The sequence below is a fragment of the Homo sapiens genome, chromosome 7 (assembly GCF_000001405.40).
Source record: "Homo sapiens chromosome 7, GRCh38.p14 Primary Assembly".
Classification (NCBI taxonomy): Eukaryota; Metazoa; Chordata; class Mammalia; order Primates; family Hominidae; genus Homo; species Homo sapiens.
Window position 1 is genome coordinate 96,509,227 of NC_000007.14, and position 22,433 is coordinate 96,531,659.

The following is a 22,433-nucleotide window of genomic DNA, read 5'->3' on the forward strand; positions in this document are numbered from 1 at the left end:
AACTCCTGGCCTCAAGTGATCCACCTGCCTTGGCCTCTCAAAGTGCTGGGATTACAGGAGTGAGCCACCCCTCCCAATCAAGAGACGCAATCTTTATTATCATCTGTGCTCAGGTAAAATTGCCAAGATCCCCATTTACATCGCTTAGATTTTATTTTCACATTAATAAGCATTAGTTGTTACAAAGACTGAAGGACTGATTATCAGAATTAGTTATTTGATGTATGATGAGTTATCAGCATCAATGTGGATTTTGACACTGAATCAATGGAAGAACAAACTCTACAGCTTGTGCTTCTCCAAATGCATTGACCTCATGTTCAAAATGCTAGATTGTCTCAACAACCTAAACTACAATTTGGACATCCATGTTCATAGCAGCATTATTCACAGTAGCCAAAAGGTAGAAGCAACCCAAGTATCCAAGAATGGATAAGTGGATAAACAAAATCTGACATATACATACAATGGAATATTATTCAGCCTTAAAACGGAAGAAAATTTTGGGGCATGCTACAACATGGATGGACCTTGACAACGTTATGCTAGGTGAAATAAGTCATACGCAAAAGGACAAATATTGTATGATTCCATTTAAATGAGGTATCTAGAATCCAAGGCAAATTCATAGAGACAGAAAGTAGGATGGTGGTAGCCAGGGATTGAGGGAGGGGAGGAACAAGAAATTCATGTTTAATAAGTACATACTTTCAGCTGGAATAGATGAAAATGTTCTGGGGACGGATGGTGGTGATGGTTTCACAAAAATGTGATATACTTAATACTGCTGAACTATATATTTTAAAAATGGTTAAAGTGATACATTTTTTCTTACATATAAATTACCATAATAAAAATCACCAAACTACATTTTATCAATCACTTTAAATTCAAATCTATTGTATACGCCCTTGGGTTTCCACAGGAAATCTGATTTAGTTATTTCTGATATTGATATTCACATTACAATAGTTTCTTGATAGGTGCACCACCTTTGAAGTACAGTCATGTATCACTTAACAATGGGGATATGTTCTGAGAAATGCAATGTGTGTGATTTTGTCGTTGTGCAAACATCATAGTGTACTTACACAAACCTAGATGGAATAACCTACTACACATCTAGGCTATATGATTAACTTATTGCTCTTAGGCTACAAACCTGTACAGCATGTTACTATACCAAACACTATAGGCAATTGTAACACAGTGGTTATATATTTGTGTATCTAAACATATCTAAATATAGAAAAGGTACAGTCAAAAGACAGTATTATAATCTTATGGGACCACTATCATATATGTGGTTCATCACTGACCAAAGCATGGTTATGTAACACATGACTGTACTTGCTTAAGCAAAGGAAACCAAACCTAATCTATCTCAAAAGAGAAGCTGTATGTTGGATCACAGTTGGTACAATCTGGTATAATCTGGATTACCACATAGCATGCCAATATCAGGGAAGGTAAAATTAACATGATATAATGTTATAAAATAGTCTGCTTTTGAAGTTGATGCCTGAAAATGCTATTTCTGAAGATCAAATGAGAATCTCTGCAGGTGGTCATTGCAAATAGTTTGGGCATTTCATCCTCTGGCTGCAGCTATATGCATCTCTTCTCATCAATGCTCCTTTGGGATATTTTTGGATTAAAAAGATTATTTGGATGAAATTATGTCCTGAAAGCTGATTGACCCTCAGTAACTGTGTAAGCTAGAAGGGCTGTCATGAAGAGATTGCCTCTTCTAGAGGGCCTGGCTACCCCTGCAGCCACTGGAACCACCATCAGTCTGGGTTTGATGTAGGCTGAGGAAGGCTGACATTATCTTCTGGTTTTGATTCAAGCAAACGTCCTTGGTAGACTCTAATCACTGCCTGAGAGTGTTATATGAGATGAGATGATATGAATACTACCACCTCAGGAATTAGAAAACAAATAGAATCACAGTTTTTAGAACGTAACCAGTCCTCAAGGAATAATTTGGTGATGTCCTGACCACAGATTCATTCATTCAGTCAGTCAGTTATCCAATTGTTATTAATCACCTGCTGAGTATTTAGGCACTGTGCTAGTCCAATCGAGTGGAGAGAAAATGACTGCCATAAAAACAATATAATCAGTTTAAGAGAGGTATACAATTTAATAAAGATTCCAAGAGAGAGATTCTTTTTGATTGAAGAATTATGAAAAGTCTTCATGGAGATGGACACTGAACGAGGAGAGAGTGTGAGAAGTCTATGCTAGCATGTCCAATAAGGAAGAATGCATGGTGTTTGTCCAAGGATTAGCAAACACACCTATTGGACTGATGTATATAGCACAAATTGGAAGAGGAAATATGGCTAGAAATTTAGGTTGGAATATAATATAGAATGTCATATTGAAGATTTTTGGGAAATACACAGTGTTTGTGAAAAGAGGAGTAATTACAACCAGAGGATACCCAGGTTCTTACATCAAGGACCATCTAAAAAAGGGGTTAAAATTGATGGTAGCATGAAGAGTAAGTGCATAAAATGGACATTACTTTTTTTTAATAAATAGTATTTTTTTGATTGCCTCTCACTGGGTTGCACAGTCTGTCCACTGATGTGAACGTTACATGTGGAACCTACTGACCATTGTTTTCACAAAACTTCCTTTAAAGCAGGGCTTCTCAACATTTTAAAATGCATACAAATCACCTGACATTCTTGTTAAATTTGAGATTCTGACTCAGTAGTCTGGGGTGGAGCCATAGATTCTGGATTTCTGAAAAGCTTTGAGGTGCTGCTGCTGCTGTTCCTGGGAGGACATCTTAATTAGCCAGACTTTAAAGTCTTAAGTTTTCACAACCATTTCATCAAAAGACACAGCTTTTGGACACTGTGCTCCTGGGGCACATAACCATTTCTACTGTACCCACGACTGCTTCCTGTCCCCACTCCAAGCCCAGGATCACCATTATTTAAGGCCCATATCAGGAAAATTAATTGAGTTTTGAGAATAGAGTAGGGAGAGCCTGACATTGGGGACTGCAGTCTAGGTGAGATGACAAAGGCCTCTTGATGAAGAGAAACATATATAACATGGGGTGCTTGGAAGAAGTGAGACTCTTCTGACTTATGGTATGATCCATCTGAGATTTATAACAATTTTTAAAATTAGATTAGCAAGTACACACGAACTACTAAGCTAATGAGCCCTCACCACCTGCCTGTTCCACCTCTGGTTGCAGGTAGCCTGTGAACAGGCTTGGATCAATTAGTCAATATAATTGAAGCCAAATGTAATTAATTATATAATTTCTGGCTGTCCAAGTTTAATTCACTAAATCACATTATGAAACTAGGGCATTATGAAGGATTAGTGAGAAAAGGGAAACGGGCTTGAGTAAAGCTCTCACAGGAGCTACAATGCATGTATTATTTCTTGAACTGCTATCCTTAGGAATGAAGCAGAGGCTCTAAACTCCCACTATTATTGATACAAAGCCATGTGTCTTGTACACTCATGGGTTTGTGATCAAGTGTCACTAGTGTAAAAGCATAAAAAGTCTGTTATACCTGATGGGAGGGGCCACTGGTTAGGAGAAAGTTCAGGAGGAAGAGTCAGAAAGGCTGCTCACATTTTGATATTTACAAAAAAAGCATCAACAGAAACATAGAAGGGAGGCAAAGAAGTTGATGTAGGAGTGAAGAGCATAAACCACGTTTTCTTAATTGCTTTCATTACATAATTAACACCATGGATTGAATTACACACTGCCCCTCCCATATACTGAAGTCCTCATTCCCAGAACTTGTGAATTCGATCATATTTGGAAACAGGATCTTTGCAGATGATCGAGTTAAGATGAGGTTATTATGATAGGCACCAGTCCAATATAACCGTGTCCTTATAAAAATGGGAAGTTTGGATACGGAGACAGATACACAACAAGGGAAGAGGATGGGAAGACACCAGGAGAACACCCTGAACAAGCAAAGGATCCCTAAGGCTGCTGGCAGTTAAGAGAGAGGCACGGAATGGAGTGTCTCTCACAGCCCCAAGAAGGAACCAACCCTGACAGCACCCTGATTTCAGATTTCTAACCTTTGAAAATGTGAGGTAATAAATTTCTGTTGCTTAAGCCACCCAGTTTGTGGTACTTTCTTACAGCAGCCCCAGGAAACTCATACAAAAAATATATGATTAGTATTTAAAAATCCAACACTAGAGAAGTATAAAGTACAGAAATAAAAGGGGAAACTTTTATCCTTATCTGATAGCATTAGGGGGTTGATATGTTTCTTTCCAGGTCTTTTATCTATTAATATGTATGTAAAGAACGTAGGCTGGGTGCAGTGGCTCACACCTGTAATCCCAGCATTTTAGGAGGCTGAGGTGGGCAGATCACTTGAGGTCAGGAGTTCCAGACTAGCGTGGCCAACATGGTGAAACCCCATCTCTACCAAAAATACAAGAATCAGCTGGGCATGATGGTGTGCACCTGTAATCCCAGTTACTCGGGAGGCTGAGGCAGGAGAATCACTTGAAACCAGGAGGCAGAGGTTGCAGTATGTGGAGATCATGCCACTGAACTCCAGCCTGGGCAGCAGAGCAAGACTCTGTCTCAAAAATAAAAAAATTCGTTATAAAAATGAGATTATACCATAGATATTGCTATGTAATATTACTATAGTAATATTACAATGGATACTACTATGAAGCTTGCTTTTTTCATTTAATAAATATATTGTGGACATACTCCCATATCAATTCATACAGATCTACTCTTTCATTATAATGGCTACACAGATTTTATTTTATAGATTTATCAGATGATTCATGATATACATTTGGGGAAAGAAAATTTACTATTACAAGCAATGTTGCCACAAACATATTTATTCAAATATCCTTATGCTCTTCTGAGAGTATTGCTCTAAGAAAGATTATAGAAGTGGAATTACTAAGTCAAATGTACTTGTGCTTAACGTCTTGAAAAAAATTGTCGAATTGTTCTTTAAAATGTTGCAGTTACCTTTTTATTTATTTATTTATTGTAAGAAATGGAGTCTTGCTATGTTGCCCAGGATAGCCGTGAACTCCTGGGTTAAGCAATCCTCCCATCTCAGGCTCCCGATTAGCTATGACTATGGGCACATGCTACCATACCCAGCTGCAACTACATTTTCAACATCATACTGGAAGTTCTAGATAATGCAACAAGACAAGAAAAGGAAATAAAAGATATACAGATGGGAAAGAAGAAATAAAACTGTCTTTCTTCACAGATGACATGATTGTCTCTGTAGAAAATCTTAAGTAATTGACAAAAAACCTCCATAATAAGTGATTATAGCAAAGTTGCAGGATGTGAGGTTAATATACAAGTCAGTCACTTTCCTATATACCAGCAACGAACAAGTAAAATTTGAAATTAGAAACATGATACCATTTATGTTAGGACCTCCAAAAATGAAGCAGTTAGGTATAAATCTAACAAAATATATACAAGATTTATATGAGAAAAACTACAAAACTCTGATGAAGGAAATAAAAAAGGTTTTATAAATAAATGAAAAGACATACTATGTTCATAGGTAGGAAAACTCAGTTATTGTCAAGATATCAGTTTTTCTCACCTGATATATACCTTCAATATAATCTCAATCAAAATCCCAGCAAGTTATTTTGTGGATGTTGACAAACTGTAAAATTTATATGGAAAGGCAAAAAGACCCAGGATACACAACACAATATTGACGGAGAGCAAATATTACCAACCTCAAGACATATTATAAAGCTGAAGTAATCAAGACACTATGGTATTGGTGAAAGAGTATGAAGAGATCAATGGAAAAGAGCAGAGAGCCCAGAAAGAGCCCCACATAAATATAATCAACTGATATTTGACAAAAGGGCAATGTCAATACAATGGAGAAAATACAGTCTTTCAACAAATGGTGCCAGAACAACCGGATATCCACATGCAAAAAGGATATCCACATGGGCAAAGGATATGAACAGACACTTCTCAAAAGAAGACATTTATGCAGCCAACAGACATATGAAAAAATGGTCATCATCACTGGTCATCAGAGAGATGCAAATCAAAACCACAAAGGGATACCATCTCACGCCAATTAGAATGATGATCATTAAAAATTCAGGAAACAACAAATGCTGGAGAGGATGTGGAGAAATAGCAACACTTTTACAAGGTTGGTGGGAGTGTAAAATAATTCAACCATTGTGGAAGACAGTGTGGCAATTCCTCAAGGATCTAGAAATAGAAATACCATTTGACCCAGCAATCCCATTACTGGGTATATACCCAAAGGATTATAAATCATGCTACTATAAAGGCACATTCACACATATGTTTATTGCAGCACTATTCACAATAGCAAAGACTTGGAACCAACCTAAATGTCCATCAATGATAGACTGGATTAAGAAAATGTGGCACATATACACCATGGAATACTATGCAGCCATAAAAAAGGATGAGTTCCTGCCCTTTGCAGGGACATGGATGAAGCTGGAAACCATCATTGTAAGCAAACTATCACAAGGACAGAAAACCAAACACCACATGTTCTCACTCATAAGTAGGAGCTGAACAATGAGAACACAGGGACGCAGGGCAGGGAACATCACACACTGGGGCCTGTTGCGGGGTCGGGGACTGGGGGAGGGATAGCATTAGGAGAAATACCTAATGTAAATGATGAGTTGATGGGTGCAGCAAACCAACATGGCACATGTATACCTATATAACAAAATTGCATGTTGTGCACATGTACCCTAGAACTTAAAGTATAATAATACAAAAATCTTTTTCTTTTAAAAAAAAAGAACCTAAAGAAAGGCCTTATATACGTCACAAAAATTACTCAAAATGGATTTACAGACCTAAATGGAAAGTGCAAAAGTATAAAACTCCTAGAAGATACCATAAGAAAAAATCTAGATAACCAATGACTTTAGAGATATGACACCAAAATCATGATCCAACAAAGAAAGAACTGATAAGTTGGACTTCATCCAAATTAAAAATTTCTTCTCTGCAAGACAGTCTCAAATATGAAAAGACAAGTCACAAGCCAGGAGAAAATATGTTTTCAAGAGATACGTCTGATAAAAGAGTGTTATCCAAAATAGACAAAGAATTCTTAAACCTGTTAGTCAGAAAACAACCTAATTTAAAAAATGGGCCAAAGACCTAAACAGACAACTCAATAAAGAGGATATTCAGATAGCAGATAAGCATATGAACAGATTCTCCACCTCTTATATTACCAGGGAAGTGTAAATTAAAACAACAGTAGGATACTACTACACACCTATTAGAATAGCTGAAATGCAGAACACTGACAACATCAGATGCTGGTGAGAGTGTGGAGAACCAGGAACTCTCATTCATTGATGGTGGAAATATAAAATGGTACAGCCACTTTGGAAGACAGTTTAATGCTTTCTTACAAAACTAAACATATTCTTACCATAGGATCCAGTAATCACACTCTGGTATTTATCTAAAGGAGTTGAAAACTTATAGAACATGCACATACATGTTTATAGCAGCTTTATTCATAATTGCCCAAATTTGGAAGGAACCAAGATGTCCTTCAATAAGTGAATGAATAAGTAAACTGTGTTGTGTAAAGACAATGGAATATTATTCAGTATTAAAAAGAAACGAGCTACCCAGCCATGAAAAGATGTGGAAGAAACATAAATGCATATTTCCAGTGAAAGAAGCCAATCTGAAAAGCCTACATACTGTATGATTCCAACTATATATGACATTCTTGAAAAGGTAAAACCATGGAGACAATAAAAAGATCAGTGGTTTGTAGGAGCTCTGGGAGGAAGAGACAAATAGGTGGAGCATGGAGAACTTTTAGGGAAGTGAAAATACTCTTCCATGATACTGTAATGGTGGATACATATCATAATACATTTGTCCTAATGTGTAGAATGTACAACACCCAGAGTGAACCTTAATGTATACTATGGACTTTGAGTGATAAAGTGTCAGTGTAGATTCATCAGTTGTAACAAATGTACCATTCTGGTGGGAGGATATTGATAAAAGGGGATGCTATGCTTGTTGGGACAGAGGGTAAATGACAAATCTCTGTACCTTCCTCTCAATTTTGATGCAAAGGTAAAAGTGCTCTAAAAGACAACTTTAAAAAATGTTGCCATTATACTCTAGACATGGAGTTTGAGATTGTCCCTTTCTCTACATTCTTTTCAACATATGTATAGTTGAACTCTTCAAAGTAATGAAATTCTTTATCTTTCGGGTTAGATATGTATTAAAAATTTTAGCACATATGTCTATAATCACTAGCGAGATGGGGAAACTTCATATTTCTGGACATTTGAAGTTCTTATTTTGAGAATTGCCTATTTACATACTTTGCTGTTCCCTGATAGTTGTCTTTTTTTAAATTAACATAAATATTTGTATGCTTGGGATAGTAACAAATAGTCATGGTGAATATTTCCTCCCATATGTGTTAAGTTTGGTCTGTTAAATATGTGGCATATATATTCTCCCAATATGTTATATGTTTAGTTAACGTTTATTATGTTGAGATAATAAGACTACTGTTTTTCAGTCTCTAGTATATTTGACAGTAGTCAAATCTGCTAGTCCTTTCATTTGTGATGCTTGCCTTTCATGTCTCACTTAGGCTATGCACAGGTATATATGTAGATGGAGAGGCATACTTGCATTCATTTTAAAACACGTAAGAACGTTTACTGTACTTAAGAGACAGAAGGCATTAGGCCAGATGATACAAGGACAATTATCATATAGGATGGATATAGCATTTGAAATTAGAGAACACGCAGTATAGGCCAGTGCCAGAATGGTGAATTCTGTGGTTGAGGCAAATCACAGTTTACGTAATCTGCATAGATCGTAGTAGTAATCCATTCTCTAATGCCATTGGCAATGGCATTGGATGCATGTATTGAAGGTATAGTGTTGAGGGAAAGTCACCCCATATTATTCTTACTCAAATTCGGGGCTGGAGTGGAAAGTTTCTGCCATTATTACCACTTAGCAATGGGCATAAAATATAATCAGCCTATATAATAAACTGGAAACTTATAAACTGAAATTTTAATATATAAAGTCCATGTGCATATTAAAATAAGAATGAGTGAAAGAGCGATGAGTATAACAAAAGTATAATGTTGTCATTAAGTCAAGAACAAGAGAATTAAGGCTGACAGCCTATGCCACTGTGTCTGTGGCATGTGTAGGCTGAGGATACTGTGACCACTGATGTGACCATTTGGTCCACTGTCCATATCTCTAATTACTGGAGTTGGGATATCACTGCTGCCAGTTAGTCACTACCAATTTCCTTTTCTCTGAATTTATATTCATCACGCAGCCCTTCAGTTCATAATTTAGTTTCCCAAGCAGACTGCCTTACTGAGAAGGCAATGATCAAGTGAACCAGTGTCATTATTCTGATTAGCTTGGCAGGTATGTATCTCTTTGCGAATTATTCAGTTCTTTAGTAAATGAGGTGATGTTTTATATCATCCCCCCACTCCATCATTCCCCTAACAACTGGTTCATATGGTAAGGGAAAGTTTATAAGCTAATACTGTACATGCAATGGCCTGCATGGCCTAGTATGTGCTGCCATTATCCAAATACCCCCACCACAAATGATTCTGTCCTTGTGCTTGCAAACATTGAATAACTTTTCTTTTCCTTACTTTAACCCAGTGATATCTACTGACCTATACACAACATTCCATGTAACACACATGTGCTGGCAATTATTGTGACAGAAAGTAGAGAGCAGGGAGAAGGGTCACAAAGGATGGAGGGGGTGAAGCATTTCACATTTTATCAAGATATGAAAACTGGCACCTAGATTTTTATGCACTGGAAATAATTATTGGTCTCATGTAATTGGGTGTGAAGAAACTAGTGACTGGCAGAGAGGAATGGGAACAATCTTGAAGGTTGAAGAAGGGAGGTAATATTTACAGAGGACAGAAATTTCATTGATTCAACAAAACTATTTTTTTTGAGCACTTTCTATCTGCCAGGCGTTGCTTTAGGCATTTAGGATACATCAGTGAACAATAAAAACCCAATTTCCTCTCCTCTTAGGACTTAATTCTAGAAAGAAGAGTCAGACCAATCAACAGCAGACAGACCAGATGAGTAAATTACACAGTATTTTAGGAGGGGATACATACTACGGAAAAAGAAAGGGTAGATCAAGGTAAGTGGGATTGGAGATGTGAAGTGGGAGTGGGTGGGTTGAGATTTTTTAAATAGGTTGGTGATGAGGAAGAGGGATCACTGAGGAATGAAGTTGGAGTGAAGACTCGAAGGAGGTGAGGGAACAAGCCATGTTAATATCTGGTGACAGAACACTCCAGGCAGAGGGAGTCATCAGGATGAGACCCTCCACATAGCTGAGATTTTGAAAGTTTCCTGTGTTTAGACAAAATGAAAATAAACAAAAACCAGTGTCCTGAAAAGATCTCAAAGCCTTCCTATGCTAGCCAAAAAGGTAAAGGTGTGTATAGGTACACACTTATCCATGCAGGTAAGGGGGGTTATTCCGAGAGTTTTAGATCACATGCAGAGATTAAAAAGAGCAAGCTTATTTGGTGACGGAGTGAGAAGGAGCACCTAACAGTCATGTACTTGCAAGGAAAGAAGACGGGGGAAAGAAGGGGCCTCTTGATAGACTTCTTAATTAGAAATTCGGCTCTTATCTCATGGGAAGTGAAACCCACTTCAGTCCAAAATGGTCTGCCAAGAAGATCCTGCTGGGAAATATTTTGATGGATTGCAAGAAGGGAAGCTTGAGGCAGCCACAAGAAAGATGTTATAATCATCCCAGCTGAGATGACCAAAGCTGAAGTAGGATCATACATACATACATACAGATGAAGATATGATGACAGAGTATGCCAAGGGTCACTCATCATACTGTGTTATTTTGCAATGAGATAAGACTTTGGCAGGAAACTGTGTAGAATGACAAAATTCCTAGACCACGCTTGCTCTGCCACATATTTCTGTGATTTCTGGCTACAAAATCAGCTGGGGGCTCAGTTTTCTCATCTGTAGAATTGGGGAATAACACCTGCTTGATCTAGTTCATAGAACTTTTGTGAGAATCAGATGATGAAACAGCAGAAACTGTTGGGTAGGTAATTAAATGCTATACAAACAGGAGACATTCTCAAAGCTTTTATTCTCACCAAATAGCTGATATAACACTTGACTTCTTTATTTTCAGTTCACACCTGAAAATAATCTGCATTTTCAAGACCAAAGTAACCTCAATCCTGGTGGGTTACTCTCTAGTCTCTTCCTCCTTCTCCTTGGTCCCCCAGTAAGGCTGGAAGGGCCAACAGGTAGGGAGAAGTTTCGGAAGAAAATCTAGCACCGTGGTATAGGTTAAGAGGCAGCATAGGAAGAAAAGCCATCCTCTACCTCTATTTCTTTTGGAACAGAAATAAAAGGGTATGGTGTCTGTGTTCCAGCATCTGCTCCCAGGTTTTGATTTTTCTGTGACTCAGGAGAAGACAGAGGCTAGTAGGCTGGCCTCCCCGATGCCCAGGCTCTCCCCTTCTGGGTTCTTATCGGAGAGAGTCTGGCCCACTGATCCCAGCTTGCAAAAGCAAGCAAGAAAAGGCTTGCTTTTCTCCTCCATGGCTGATTGTCCTGAGAGCCCCGTAATTCTCAAGGTCAGACCTTCCCATGCAATGCCGAAGCTGACAAATCTAATCTCTCAGGCAAACAAAACAGGTTATTTTGCTGCAAAACCTCACAAAAAAAAGGGGACGGACATTCCCCTTGGCTTGAAATTTTAAACTATTTTGAGTCCAAGCTCACAGAGCATCTCTATGATTTTCTTCGAGGGGGCCTGAGGGCGAAAAAGGAGGGCCTGCAATCTCTTATTGAATATCCCCATTTCCAGCCTCAGTCAGACCACTCAGAACACACTCTCTCCAGCTTTTATCAGCTTAAACCCGGAGCAGACATGTGGTGTGTGAAAGGATGTAGGTTGTTATTCAGTGCCTCTGGCATATCGTGTTAAGATGAAAAACACAAGTTTGCTACTTAAAGGGGAACTGTCAGTCCAAGGTCATCATTCCCCAGCAGGCCATGGTACAAGCCACACCACAAATACCCATTCTGGGTGTGGGACAAGCGTCTGGTTAGTTTCTCCATTTGAGAGAAGCACAGAGAACAGCATTTCCTCCAAACACCAGATCAATCATTTAGGGGCAATTCATCTTTTACTAAAATGATCTCAAGTTCACGACTAATAAGACCACAGCTGCCTTTTTTATGGCTGAGTTACCCACACACAACTCGGCACGGTATTTTCGGTCAGGTCACAACTGCGTAATGGGGCCTCAAACTTGGCAGTTTCATGTTCTTCTGTCTTTTCCTTTCCCAACCCACACTGAATTACACGCTGACCAAAGCTCCCCTGGAGTCACATGGAATGAGAATTTGGCTCCAAATATCCAAATTTGCAGCCCAAAATGGAGGCGTCCCTGGGCCGACTAAGTTTTTCCATTTCACTGCCTGGGGTTTGCCATTCTCTGTGCAGAATTCAGGCTGCATTTTCCTGTTGATGATCCAGGTTATGCAAATGTAGATAGGAGAGTCACAACAAATGTGTCCAGATGGCCCTTACACTATAGAGTTACCCCAAATTCAAGAACAAAATGAGACAAAATTATTTACAGCATGAAATTGAACTGTAAGGAGTACAGAGGGAAACAGATCTTAGAGAAAGAGAAGAAAAAAAGTAAATAAAATTTTGTCTTTGTTTCCCCTCTTTTCAAAATCAATTTTGCCAAATTGTTAATTACCCTCGAAAGGATATTAAGGGCAGTCAGGAGGAAGTCAATGTTAGTATTTTGGATATCCTGGCATACATCACGTGTAGTTCCTGGGACATCCAAGATGACACAGACTGACATGTTGCTTCAGGCACATGCTCTATGTTACCATTATATTTGCGTAACTGATCCATTCCGGGCATATATAGCCCTGACCTCTGGGTGCTGAGGAATTAAAATATCAGTCACAGGGCTCAAACTGTTGTCCTTATGTAGATGAATGTTAGCTTCTCCTATTTGGCAGTTTGTGTCCTAAACTTTTAGTTTGCTCTAACAATGATTGCCCAAGTCAACTAGTAGGCACTGTTCTGAGGACCAGGTCATTGAGATTTACTGCTTTGCATTTTTGCCTTCATAGTTCTACATTGCACGATTAGCACTCCACCATGGGACTACTGCCATGCCAGGTCCATATGCAGAGCTCAGCACAGTGCTTTGTGAGAAAAAAAAAAAAAAAAGATGTTGTTGGGGTCAGGCACAGTGGCTCACACCTGTAATCCCAGCACTTTGGGAGGCCAAGGCAGGCAGATCATCTGAGGTCGGGAGTTCGAGACCAGCCTGACCAACATGGAGAAACCCCGTCTCTACTAAAAATACCCCCCCCCCAAAAAAAAATTAGCCGGATGTGGTGGCACATGCTTGTAATCCCAGCTACTCCAGGGGCTGAGGTGGGAGAATTGCTTGAACCTGGGAGGCGGAGGTTGCAGTGAGCCAAGATCACATCATTGCACTCCAGCCTGGGCAACAAGAGTGAAACTCCATCTCAAAAAAAAAAAAAAAAAAAAGAGAGATGTTGTTTAAATGATACTGAGGTGCTGATACCATTCTTCTTGGATCCCATTTTATCATGAATCTATCCTCTATGTTGCCAATAGGCTGCTTCTGCTTAACAATCTGTGAAGATGAACTGTGGCTCAGCTTTGTGTTATTTGCCTAAGGATGCCTTCATTCAAATCTTTGACAAAATAATGAACACGAAGACACAGAGGGCAGAGCTATGTGATGTTTCACTACAGATGTTCTTCTAATTTTCACCTAAACTTATAAATCCAGTCTCTCTCTATATATTTTTGCTTGCAAGAATCTCAACCAAACTTAGTTTGACATAAACTTATTGAGATCTAGAAACTGGAATAAATGAGGAAAACATTGTTCCAACTTTCAAAGGACTTCCAGTCTGACGAGAGTATATATGGTGTATCTGATGGAGGCAGTGGTTGGGGATCAGGGAAGTTGGTAGGGAAGAGGAGTAAGAGGCGGGGCTTAGATTACTATATAAATAGTCACAGTTCAAAGCATAAAAAATTTTACCTGAGGAGTGCAAAATGCCCCAGGGTTCAAAAGAGGGAAAGATCACATTTTACTAAGGAAGTTCAGGGCAGTGTCGTAAATCAGCATATTTCTTGGTTCCCCACATCACTCTGATCATCGTTCTCCTCTCTTTACAGCTTTTGTTGCGGTTCAGACCATTAGCTTATTCAACATTTCCCTTTCCTGACCACAGCCACCCACCAACTCCTGGATACTCTTCCACCTTCAGCACCTGCCCAGTCTTCTCCCTATCTTTTCTACCAGCTATCATCCTCAAAAACTATTGAATGTTGTTGACATTCAAATATGCTGGCTCCTTCATTATCAACTCCAAACTCAACTACCCTCTGATGTAGTCAAAACTTAGCCTCCATCACCCCTTGAAATTGTTCCACCCCAATGACACAAACTTAAACATTTCTCCTATTATTTCTCTTATCAGATGATGCATCTCACCCCTTTCATTTCTCACTTACGTTTAACAAACTTTGTTTTGTTTGTTGCTTTCATTGTGATCTTCATTTTTTCCCTTGGACGTTCACAATATGCTTCACCTCTGTCCCCTTTTGGGTTTGTTGTCCTCTTCTTCCCTAACCTGGAGTTTCTGGTTAGCCTATTAAACAGGGCACTTCTTATGTAGACTTTTTGGACATGCTGCCATGCTCTGTCTCTGTCAATCTTCAACTGCCTCGCTTTTGTGAGGGTTTTCTGGCTACACTTCCAATCCTTCTACTCATCTCTTGTAGATGCCCTGAAGCATTTCTACATCCGCCATTTCATACCTTTATTTCTCTCCTCCGAATTCTCAACATCACCCCTAGGACAGGACCTCTTCTCTTAATTCACTGAAAAGATATAGACCAAAGCTGCTCAATAGAACTCCTGCGATGATGTCAGTGTTTTATATTTGCATTATGCAATATGGTAGCCAGTAGGCATGTACAGCTATTGCACACTAAAATTGTAGCTAGTAAGACTGAGGTACTGGATGTTTTATTTTATTTTATTTTAATTAACTTAAATTTAAATAGCAACGTATAGCTAATAGCTACTCTATTCCATGCCACAGGTATAAATCAGTGCTGTCCAATAAAAATATAATTATTTCATATATCATTTCAAATTTTCTAGTAAGTACATTAAAAAAGTAAAAATGAACAGGAATTATTTTTATATGATTAATAACATTACTTTTATTTAATTAATATATTTAACCCATTATATTAAAAAATTATTATTTCATTATGTAGTCAACATAAAAATTATTGATGAGATGTTTTACAATCTTATTTCATGCTAGATTTTCAACATCTTGAATATATTTTATGCTTCTAGAACATCTCAATTCAGATGCTAGATTTTCATGGGAATTATTTGATCTGTATTTAAATATCATAAAACTTACAGTTGAAAACACAGATTTATACCAAGTTGTTCGAAGCATACTTAAAAGTTTTCATTAACTGAATGAAATATCAGTTTTTCCATATCCATTTCAATTAATTAAACTTAATTAAATTAAAAATATATGTCCTCAATCAGATTAGCCACATTTCAATTGCTCAACAGCCACAGACTGCTGGTGGCTGCCATATTGAACAGTGCACTACGGGTGGCTGATTCTTCTCCAGCCTCAAGTCTCTGAATGTCTTGACCCTGGCCCTTCCTTTGCAAGTTTGTCTAAGGAAAACACATCTTCCTTAACCACTCTCATCCCCACTGCTCCTTTAAACCTTCTCTGCGTGCCAATCTCAGGCTCTTATATAAACAATTACCCCTCCCTTTTCTTATTCTCATCATTGATCTTGTCTAGTCCTGACTCCTTTTTTTTTTTTTGGTTAGAAATGTAATTCTGGGCCCTGCACCAGACCTAAAGAATTGGAAACTCTGTGGGTGGGACCCAGCTGTCTGTGTTTTAACAAACCCTCCAAGTGATCCTGAGGCATTTGCGAGTGCACGTGCAGATTCACAAAAACTAATAAAAGTGGTTACTTCTGTATAGAGTGGAGGCCGGGTACAACTCGGATAGAGAGAAGACTGGAAGTGAGTTCTTTTACATTGTTGTGATTTTGAACCATCTGAATGTTCAACTCAGATTTTTAAGAAGAAGGAGGATATTTAGAATATACTGATGGCCTCTTCTCACCTCTTTTTCATTTGATGTTTGGTAGGGCTTGGACCTTAGTAAAATTAAAAAGGTCTCCAAGTGATCCTATAAAGCAGGGGTCTCCACCCCTGGCCCCAGGCTGGAATTGGGCTGCATAACAGGAGGTCAGCAGCAGGCAAGCCAGAATTACTGCCTGAGCTCTACCTCCTGTCAGATCAGAGGCGCGTTAACTCCTCATAGGAACGCCAACCCTATTGTGAACTACACTTGCAAGGGATCTAGGTTGTGCGCTTCTTATGAGAATTTAACTAATGCCTGATGATCTGAGGTGGAACAGTTTCATCCCGAAACCATCCCTCAGTCCATGGAAACATGGTCTTCCAGAAAACTGGTCCCTGGTGCCAAAAAGGTTGGGGACCACTGCTGTAAAGTGCACAATGCAATGTATTCTAGTATATTCACAGGGTTGCACAACCATGACCTCAATTCATTTTAAAATCTTTTTATCACCCCCAAAAGAAACCTCATACCTATTAGCAGTCATTCCCATGACCTCAAACCAACCCCTGTCAAACTTTATTATTTTTAAACAATATTTCTTTACTAGCAATGTAGAAAATAATATCACTCACCATTATATATTTAGGTGAAGTGTATTTTTCAGACATTGATATGACTTTTGACAGTGATAAAACAGTTCTCTGGGCACAGGTACCTCCTTAGGCCTAAAGCATTTATTTTTTTTTTTCATTTTCAAAACCATAGAGTATGCAAAGTTTCTGCAAACAATAGACAAAGTTGCTTTTGACTTGGAGGTGAAATGAGTCCTCAATATAAAGAGAAAATGGTCTCTTCTTATTCCCAACTACCAGTACAAGATTCCCAGTTTACACGGGGGAGAGGAAGGCATAGAAACAAGTCAGGAAGTGCTCAATGAAGACCACCACCCAAACTAAACCAGAAAGAAAAAGAAGGGTCCTGGCAGCTTCCTTTGACTCAGACCAGGCTGAGTATCCTAGGAAAAGGCAGGGAAAGCCACCAGGACAAACAAAAGACTTCCTTGGAGGCAACTTTCCAAACAGTGCCTTCCTTGATCTCTTGGGGCCAGAGGATGATAAAATGGTTTGTGGGCTCTGGCTGGTGCCACAGTGATGAGAAGCTGCACATGACTCCCCCAAGCCCTCCCCTCTCCTTTCTCCTTTCAGAGGGTGGCTTTGTTCTTCCCAGCCCCTGGGGCTTGTGTTCTGTGGGAGGTTAGGACAGTTTTTTGTTATCAAGCAGACATATTAGTTTCAATGACAGTCGTCCTCCTCCTCCTTAAAAAAAAAAGTTATTGCTCATGATTTTGTCCCTTACTCTAAAAATGTAAGCTTTAAAAGGAAAGGAAGAAGACGTGGGTAAAAGAAAGGCAAGAATATACCAACAGGGAAGTAAAATGATGACCCATAAACCATCCCTCAACCAGTGCCACAGAGTTCTCTTCCAAAACTCTGTGAACATAAAGAAACGTATTTCCTCGTATGTGCACCAAGAAAGTTAACTCAGGTTGGTACATAAAGAGCCCTGAGATGAAAGATATATAATGCATACCTTGAAGGGGAAGAGAGGGAAGGGAAACATGCAATGAAGTGAAATGAGAAAGGAGGATGGCGGAGGGAAAGGGAAAAAAATCCCTAGCTAATAACGTGTTCTTGCCTTCCTTCCTAACACAATGACACGTGACTTAATGAAGCCAGTGAGTTCTGAGACTGATGTAAAAGTTCCAAAAAAAATATTCTGCGGCAAAGGCCCCTGGGTAAACGGTGTCACTTCTAATTTCTCTGGTTCCCATGATTTAGAGCAGACCCAGGATCTGAAATTCACACCAGCTTTTTGTGTACCAGGGTGCGGGTAGCGAGGGCCCAGGCTTGGGGAACAGGGACATGGGCTTCCTATGTGATTTTACCACTGCAGCCCTGCTTTGTCTCACATTTAAAATAATTTGCCAGGTAAAAATAAACTTCTCAGAATCACAGAGTGAGAAATGTACTTAACAATTCAATCCCTGTAAGTTTGGGATTGACAGAGAAAGTGCAGCCAAGGCTAATTAAATTACCCAACGTGTATTTGAATGGTGGTTTCACTAGCAAGTTTATTAATTCACATCGTTATCATTGTTATTATTGCCACAACTGGTAAATTATGCTTTTCATGAGATAACAAAATATGCAGACTGTTAGCTCTCAGTTATACCCTGCTTAGCTGTTGGTTTCTCTCCTGAGTGCCATTCTTAGAAAGCAAACCTCATTTGTTCTAAATTCCACATCCCCAGATGGCATGTTCTGAGTTCTTTTTTGTTGTTGTTGTTACTCTTTGGAAATAATTAAAATCTACAAAGGGTTTTTGTTTTCCTTCTGCTTTTGCCAGTAATTCTCACAATAGGAATATGTATGGTTCATGATATCAGCTCCTTGCAGGATGATGTTTCTGTATTTTGCTGATTTGTAAAACTCGTATTCCCAGGTTCAAATCCAGTGGACTCAGAACTGCTTTTTAATCTCTCAGGGACAATTTATGGTATATGTATAGAAGTTTTGTGCAGTCAGATTGGCTTCATGTTATTAAACCTCAATTGCCCATTGTATGTATGCTCATTTGCCCAATAATTTTGTGGGGTTGTTTTGTTTCGAGACAGGGTCTCACTCTGTCACCCAGGCTGGAGTACAGTGGCGTGATCTCAGCTCACTTCAACCTCTGCCTCCAAGGCTCAAGCAATCCTCCTACATCAGCCTCCCAAGTATCTGGGACTACAGGCGTGCCACCACACCTGGCTAATTTTTGTAATTTTACTAGAGACTGGGTTTCACCATGTTGCCCAGGCTGGCCTTGAATTCCTGGACTCAAGCAATCTGCCCGCCTCAGCCTCCCAAAATGCTGGGATTATAGGCATTACCCACCATGCCCAACCCTGCCCAATAATTCTGGACAAATTTGAGAAGACTGAAATGAGCAAAACTTAGTTGTAAGATACATCAGACAGGCATGCCATCTTGATTCAAAAACAACCTACAAAATTTGTGCAAGACACTTTCTAAATCTGGGATAAAACAATTTTGACATCTAGGCTTGCTACTTTAGGTGTGGTCCCTAGACTAGCAGCATTCATATCACCTGGGAGCTTGTTAGAAATGCAGAATCTCAGACCCATTCCAGACCTACTGATTCAGAATCTGCAGTCATCAAGCTCTCCATGTGATGCACATACATATTAAAGTGCTAGAGTATGGAAGAGAGAGATGTCTTCTCATCCTATACCCACCAGCAGCATACTACCACCGTGGCTTTCTGCACCAAACATTGAAATATATACCATTTGATAACCTTAGATATTGTATTCTAAAATATATTCCCGTACCTAATAAATTTAATGCAATTTACCCAAAATATATTTCAAAAACTTAAGCAACACAAATGAAACATCTATTGCCAATACAGTCTATCCTGCAACTCATTTTGGTTTGGAAGAAAGAATAAAGTGTATTGGATGGTGATTAGGTAACTGACCTCATCCCTTATGATACAAAATCACTTTTTTACTCCATGTCCCAGGGTTTGGCTAACATTGCATAATGGGAAAAGTTTTCAGGATATAGCAGCTTGTAGACATTCCTTCCCTCCTCCCAATCTTTTTAGAAGACAAAAGAAAAAAGAAAGGATAAAAGATTGTATAACCTAATTTCTTAAATTAAAAATGTTAATTTATAAAGTAAACAAAACGCTAATTTGAAATCCACTTTTTTCCCTACCATGAAGGCCTCCTTGAATTTCATACCATATCAAAAGTAGCTTATTTAGGAACTACTTCCACTAATAACACCATTGTGTATTTATTTGCTGGATCATAGTTACAAAGTACTTTTGCATATTGTAATAGCATTTCTCTTCTAATTTTCATCTCAAACTAAAAATCAGTTATCTCTTCCTCATAAAAATATTCATGTAAAATAATTTGGTATTTCAATTATCATAAGTATGGCAAAAATTTTTGCATTAGGAATAAAATGTATGTCACTCATACAACTGCAGCTCTTGATAAAAAAAAAATTGTAGTTCTTGAAGAAGGGTTCTCACTTAGAATTATTTGGAGTACAGAAAAGTCTCATTTCTAAAAAAGACCATCACTTTACAGAAATAGTTGTCCAAGTGTTTTACACTCACCTCAGCAATCGTTGGGGAGATACAAATAAAATGTTTTTCATGTATAGTAACTGTGATCCTCCTCTAAAAACAAACACACACTTTGGGTTTAAAAATTATCTTGGTGATATGTAAAGGAAGAGCTTTCACTGCGGTACTAATGCATTCTGAATTACAGTAGAGGAGCTCTGGGAATCCCTGGCTCCTAGCATAAAAACAGTTGTACAACTTCCTTCCTGAAACACTGTGCAGAAGATGCTACTTAACTCATGGGAAAACTCTCAACTAGCATTCGTGGATATCTGAGGATGGCACAATTTGATTTGTTTTAGACCTGATTCTAGGTGGTGGTTCTTTGTGGCTCCCGTTCGTGTTACCATTGTAACATGACAATGAGGAAAGGCCAAGATTACAGTGGATCTAGCCCCTGGTGCTGAGGAAAGGCAAGATTGCTAGGAAAGGCCATAGCTTGTCTGGACTGGGTGGGTGGCAATTGACAGCTGGTGGTGGCAGGGAAGCAGGAGAGAGGGAATCAGCAGGAACTTAAGGGGATATGGTGAAAGAGTAGCTGCTGGTGGTGGAGGTCAAGGTGCACTACAGCATAAAACAGTGCCTGGAAGTAGCAGAGCTTGGCCACATCCACCACAGGTGAGGGCCCCATGGAGGTCTCATCTAGGGAACATGGGAACTGAAACCAAGTCCAGGAAAACAGAGTGAGTGCTATGATCCCAGGAAGTGGTTGTAAGAAGTCTGCCAGAGAACATGAGAAGCACATTCCTAGTTTGGGATCTGCTGGGAACAAAAAAGAGCACAAGCCCCAGGAATTTGCCTGGAAGTCATAGTAAACGTCCCTCAGGTATCGGGGCATCAGGGTCCTCATGAGGGATAAACTGTCCCAGTGATGCCTCATTCCCAGTGATTCCATTTCTCTAGTGGCCAAAGACCAGAAAACAATTCGGCGTAGCATTCCTAAGCAGGATTCCACCAGAACTCCTGATGGAGCTGAAAAAACATTGATCCATTATAGTGCCTGTAAGTTGCCTAGGAGTGGATTCAAAACATCTGAGAAGGATAGGGAGTAGGAAAGAGTACATGAGAAGAGTTGACACTGTGTAAAATTAAGAGAACAATCCATGTGGGTTGGGGTGAGGGAAAAGGGATTCCTTGTTCTGCTAAGTTGAGCTGGGTCTTAAAGAACATGATCATCATGAGAGGAAGAGAAAAGGAACATTTATTTAACACACAGTTAGTCAGGCGCCATGCCCAAAACAATCAAAACTGTTGCAATAATCTGGGTCTGGATCATAGAATTTAGCTATGGGGGAAGGGAAAAAGACTATCTTCTAGAGATTTTAGTTTCTAAGAGCTAAAAGTCATGTTGGAGATATTATTATGGATGAAGTAAGACATAAGGGATAGAAAGATGACCATATAAACATGAAAGCACTCTGAAAATTATAAATATGGATTGCACATATGAAAATTTATGCTCTAATAGGAAAAATATGAATGAAGATTCTTTGAGTGAGATCAAGGCTCATGGCTTTACATTGAAAATGCACAACAGGCCAGGTACAGTGGCTCACGCCTGTAATCCCAGCACTTTCGGAAGCTGAGGCAGCAGGATGGCTTGAGACCAGGAGTTCAAGACCAGCCTGGGCAACATGGTGAGATCCTGTCTCTATAAAAAATATAAAAAAAAAAACAACAAAAAAAAACAAACAAAAAGAAAAACTAGTCAGGCAGGGTGGTGTGCATCTGTAATCCCTCCCAGCTACTCAGAAGGCTGATGTGGGAGGACTGTGTGGGCCCAGAAGGTCAAGACTGCAGTGAGCCATCATCATGTCACTGCACTGCAGCCTGGGCGACAGTGAGACTCTGTGTGGAAAAAAAAAAAAAAAAGGAAATGCACAATAATTATTCATATGTCTATCAATCT

The 22,433-nt window shown here is 39.1% G+C and overlaps 1 protein-coding gene and 1 long non-coding RNA gene across 5 annotated transcripts in view; one reads left to right on the forward strand and one right to left on the reverse strand.

Moving 5' to 3' along the window:
• The window catches only part of SEM1 (SEM1 26S proteasome subunit), a 228,221-nt gene that overhangs the window by 27,601 nt on the left and 178,187 nt on the right, over positions 1 to 22,433 (reverse strand). The gene's annotated exons all lie outside the window — the stretch shown is intronic.
• On the forward strand, positions 5 to 22,075 carry LOC105375412 (uncharacterized). The gene is made up of 3 exons (XR_927781.3): positions 5 to 113; positions 10,133 to 10,247; positions 21,993 to 22,075. It is a non-coding gene; the product is annotated as an uncharacterized LOC105375412 (long non-coding RNA).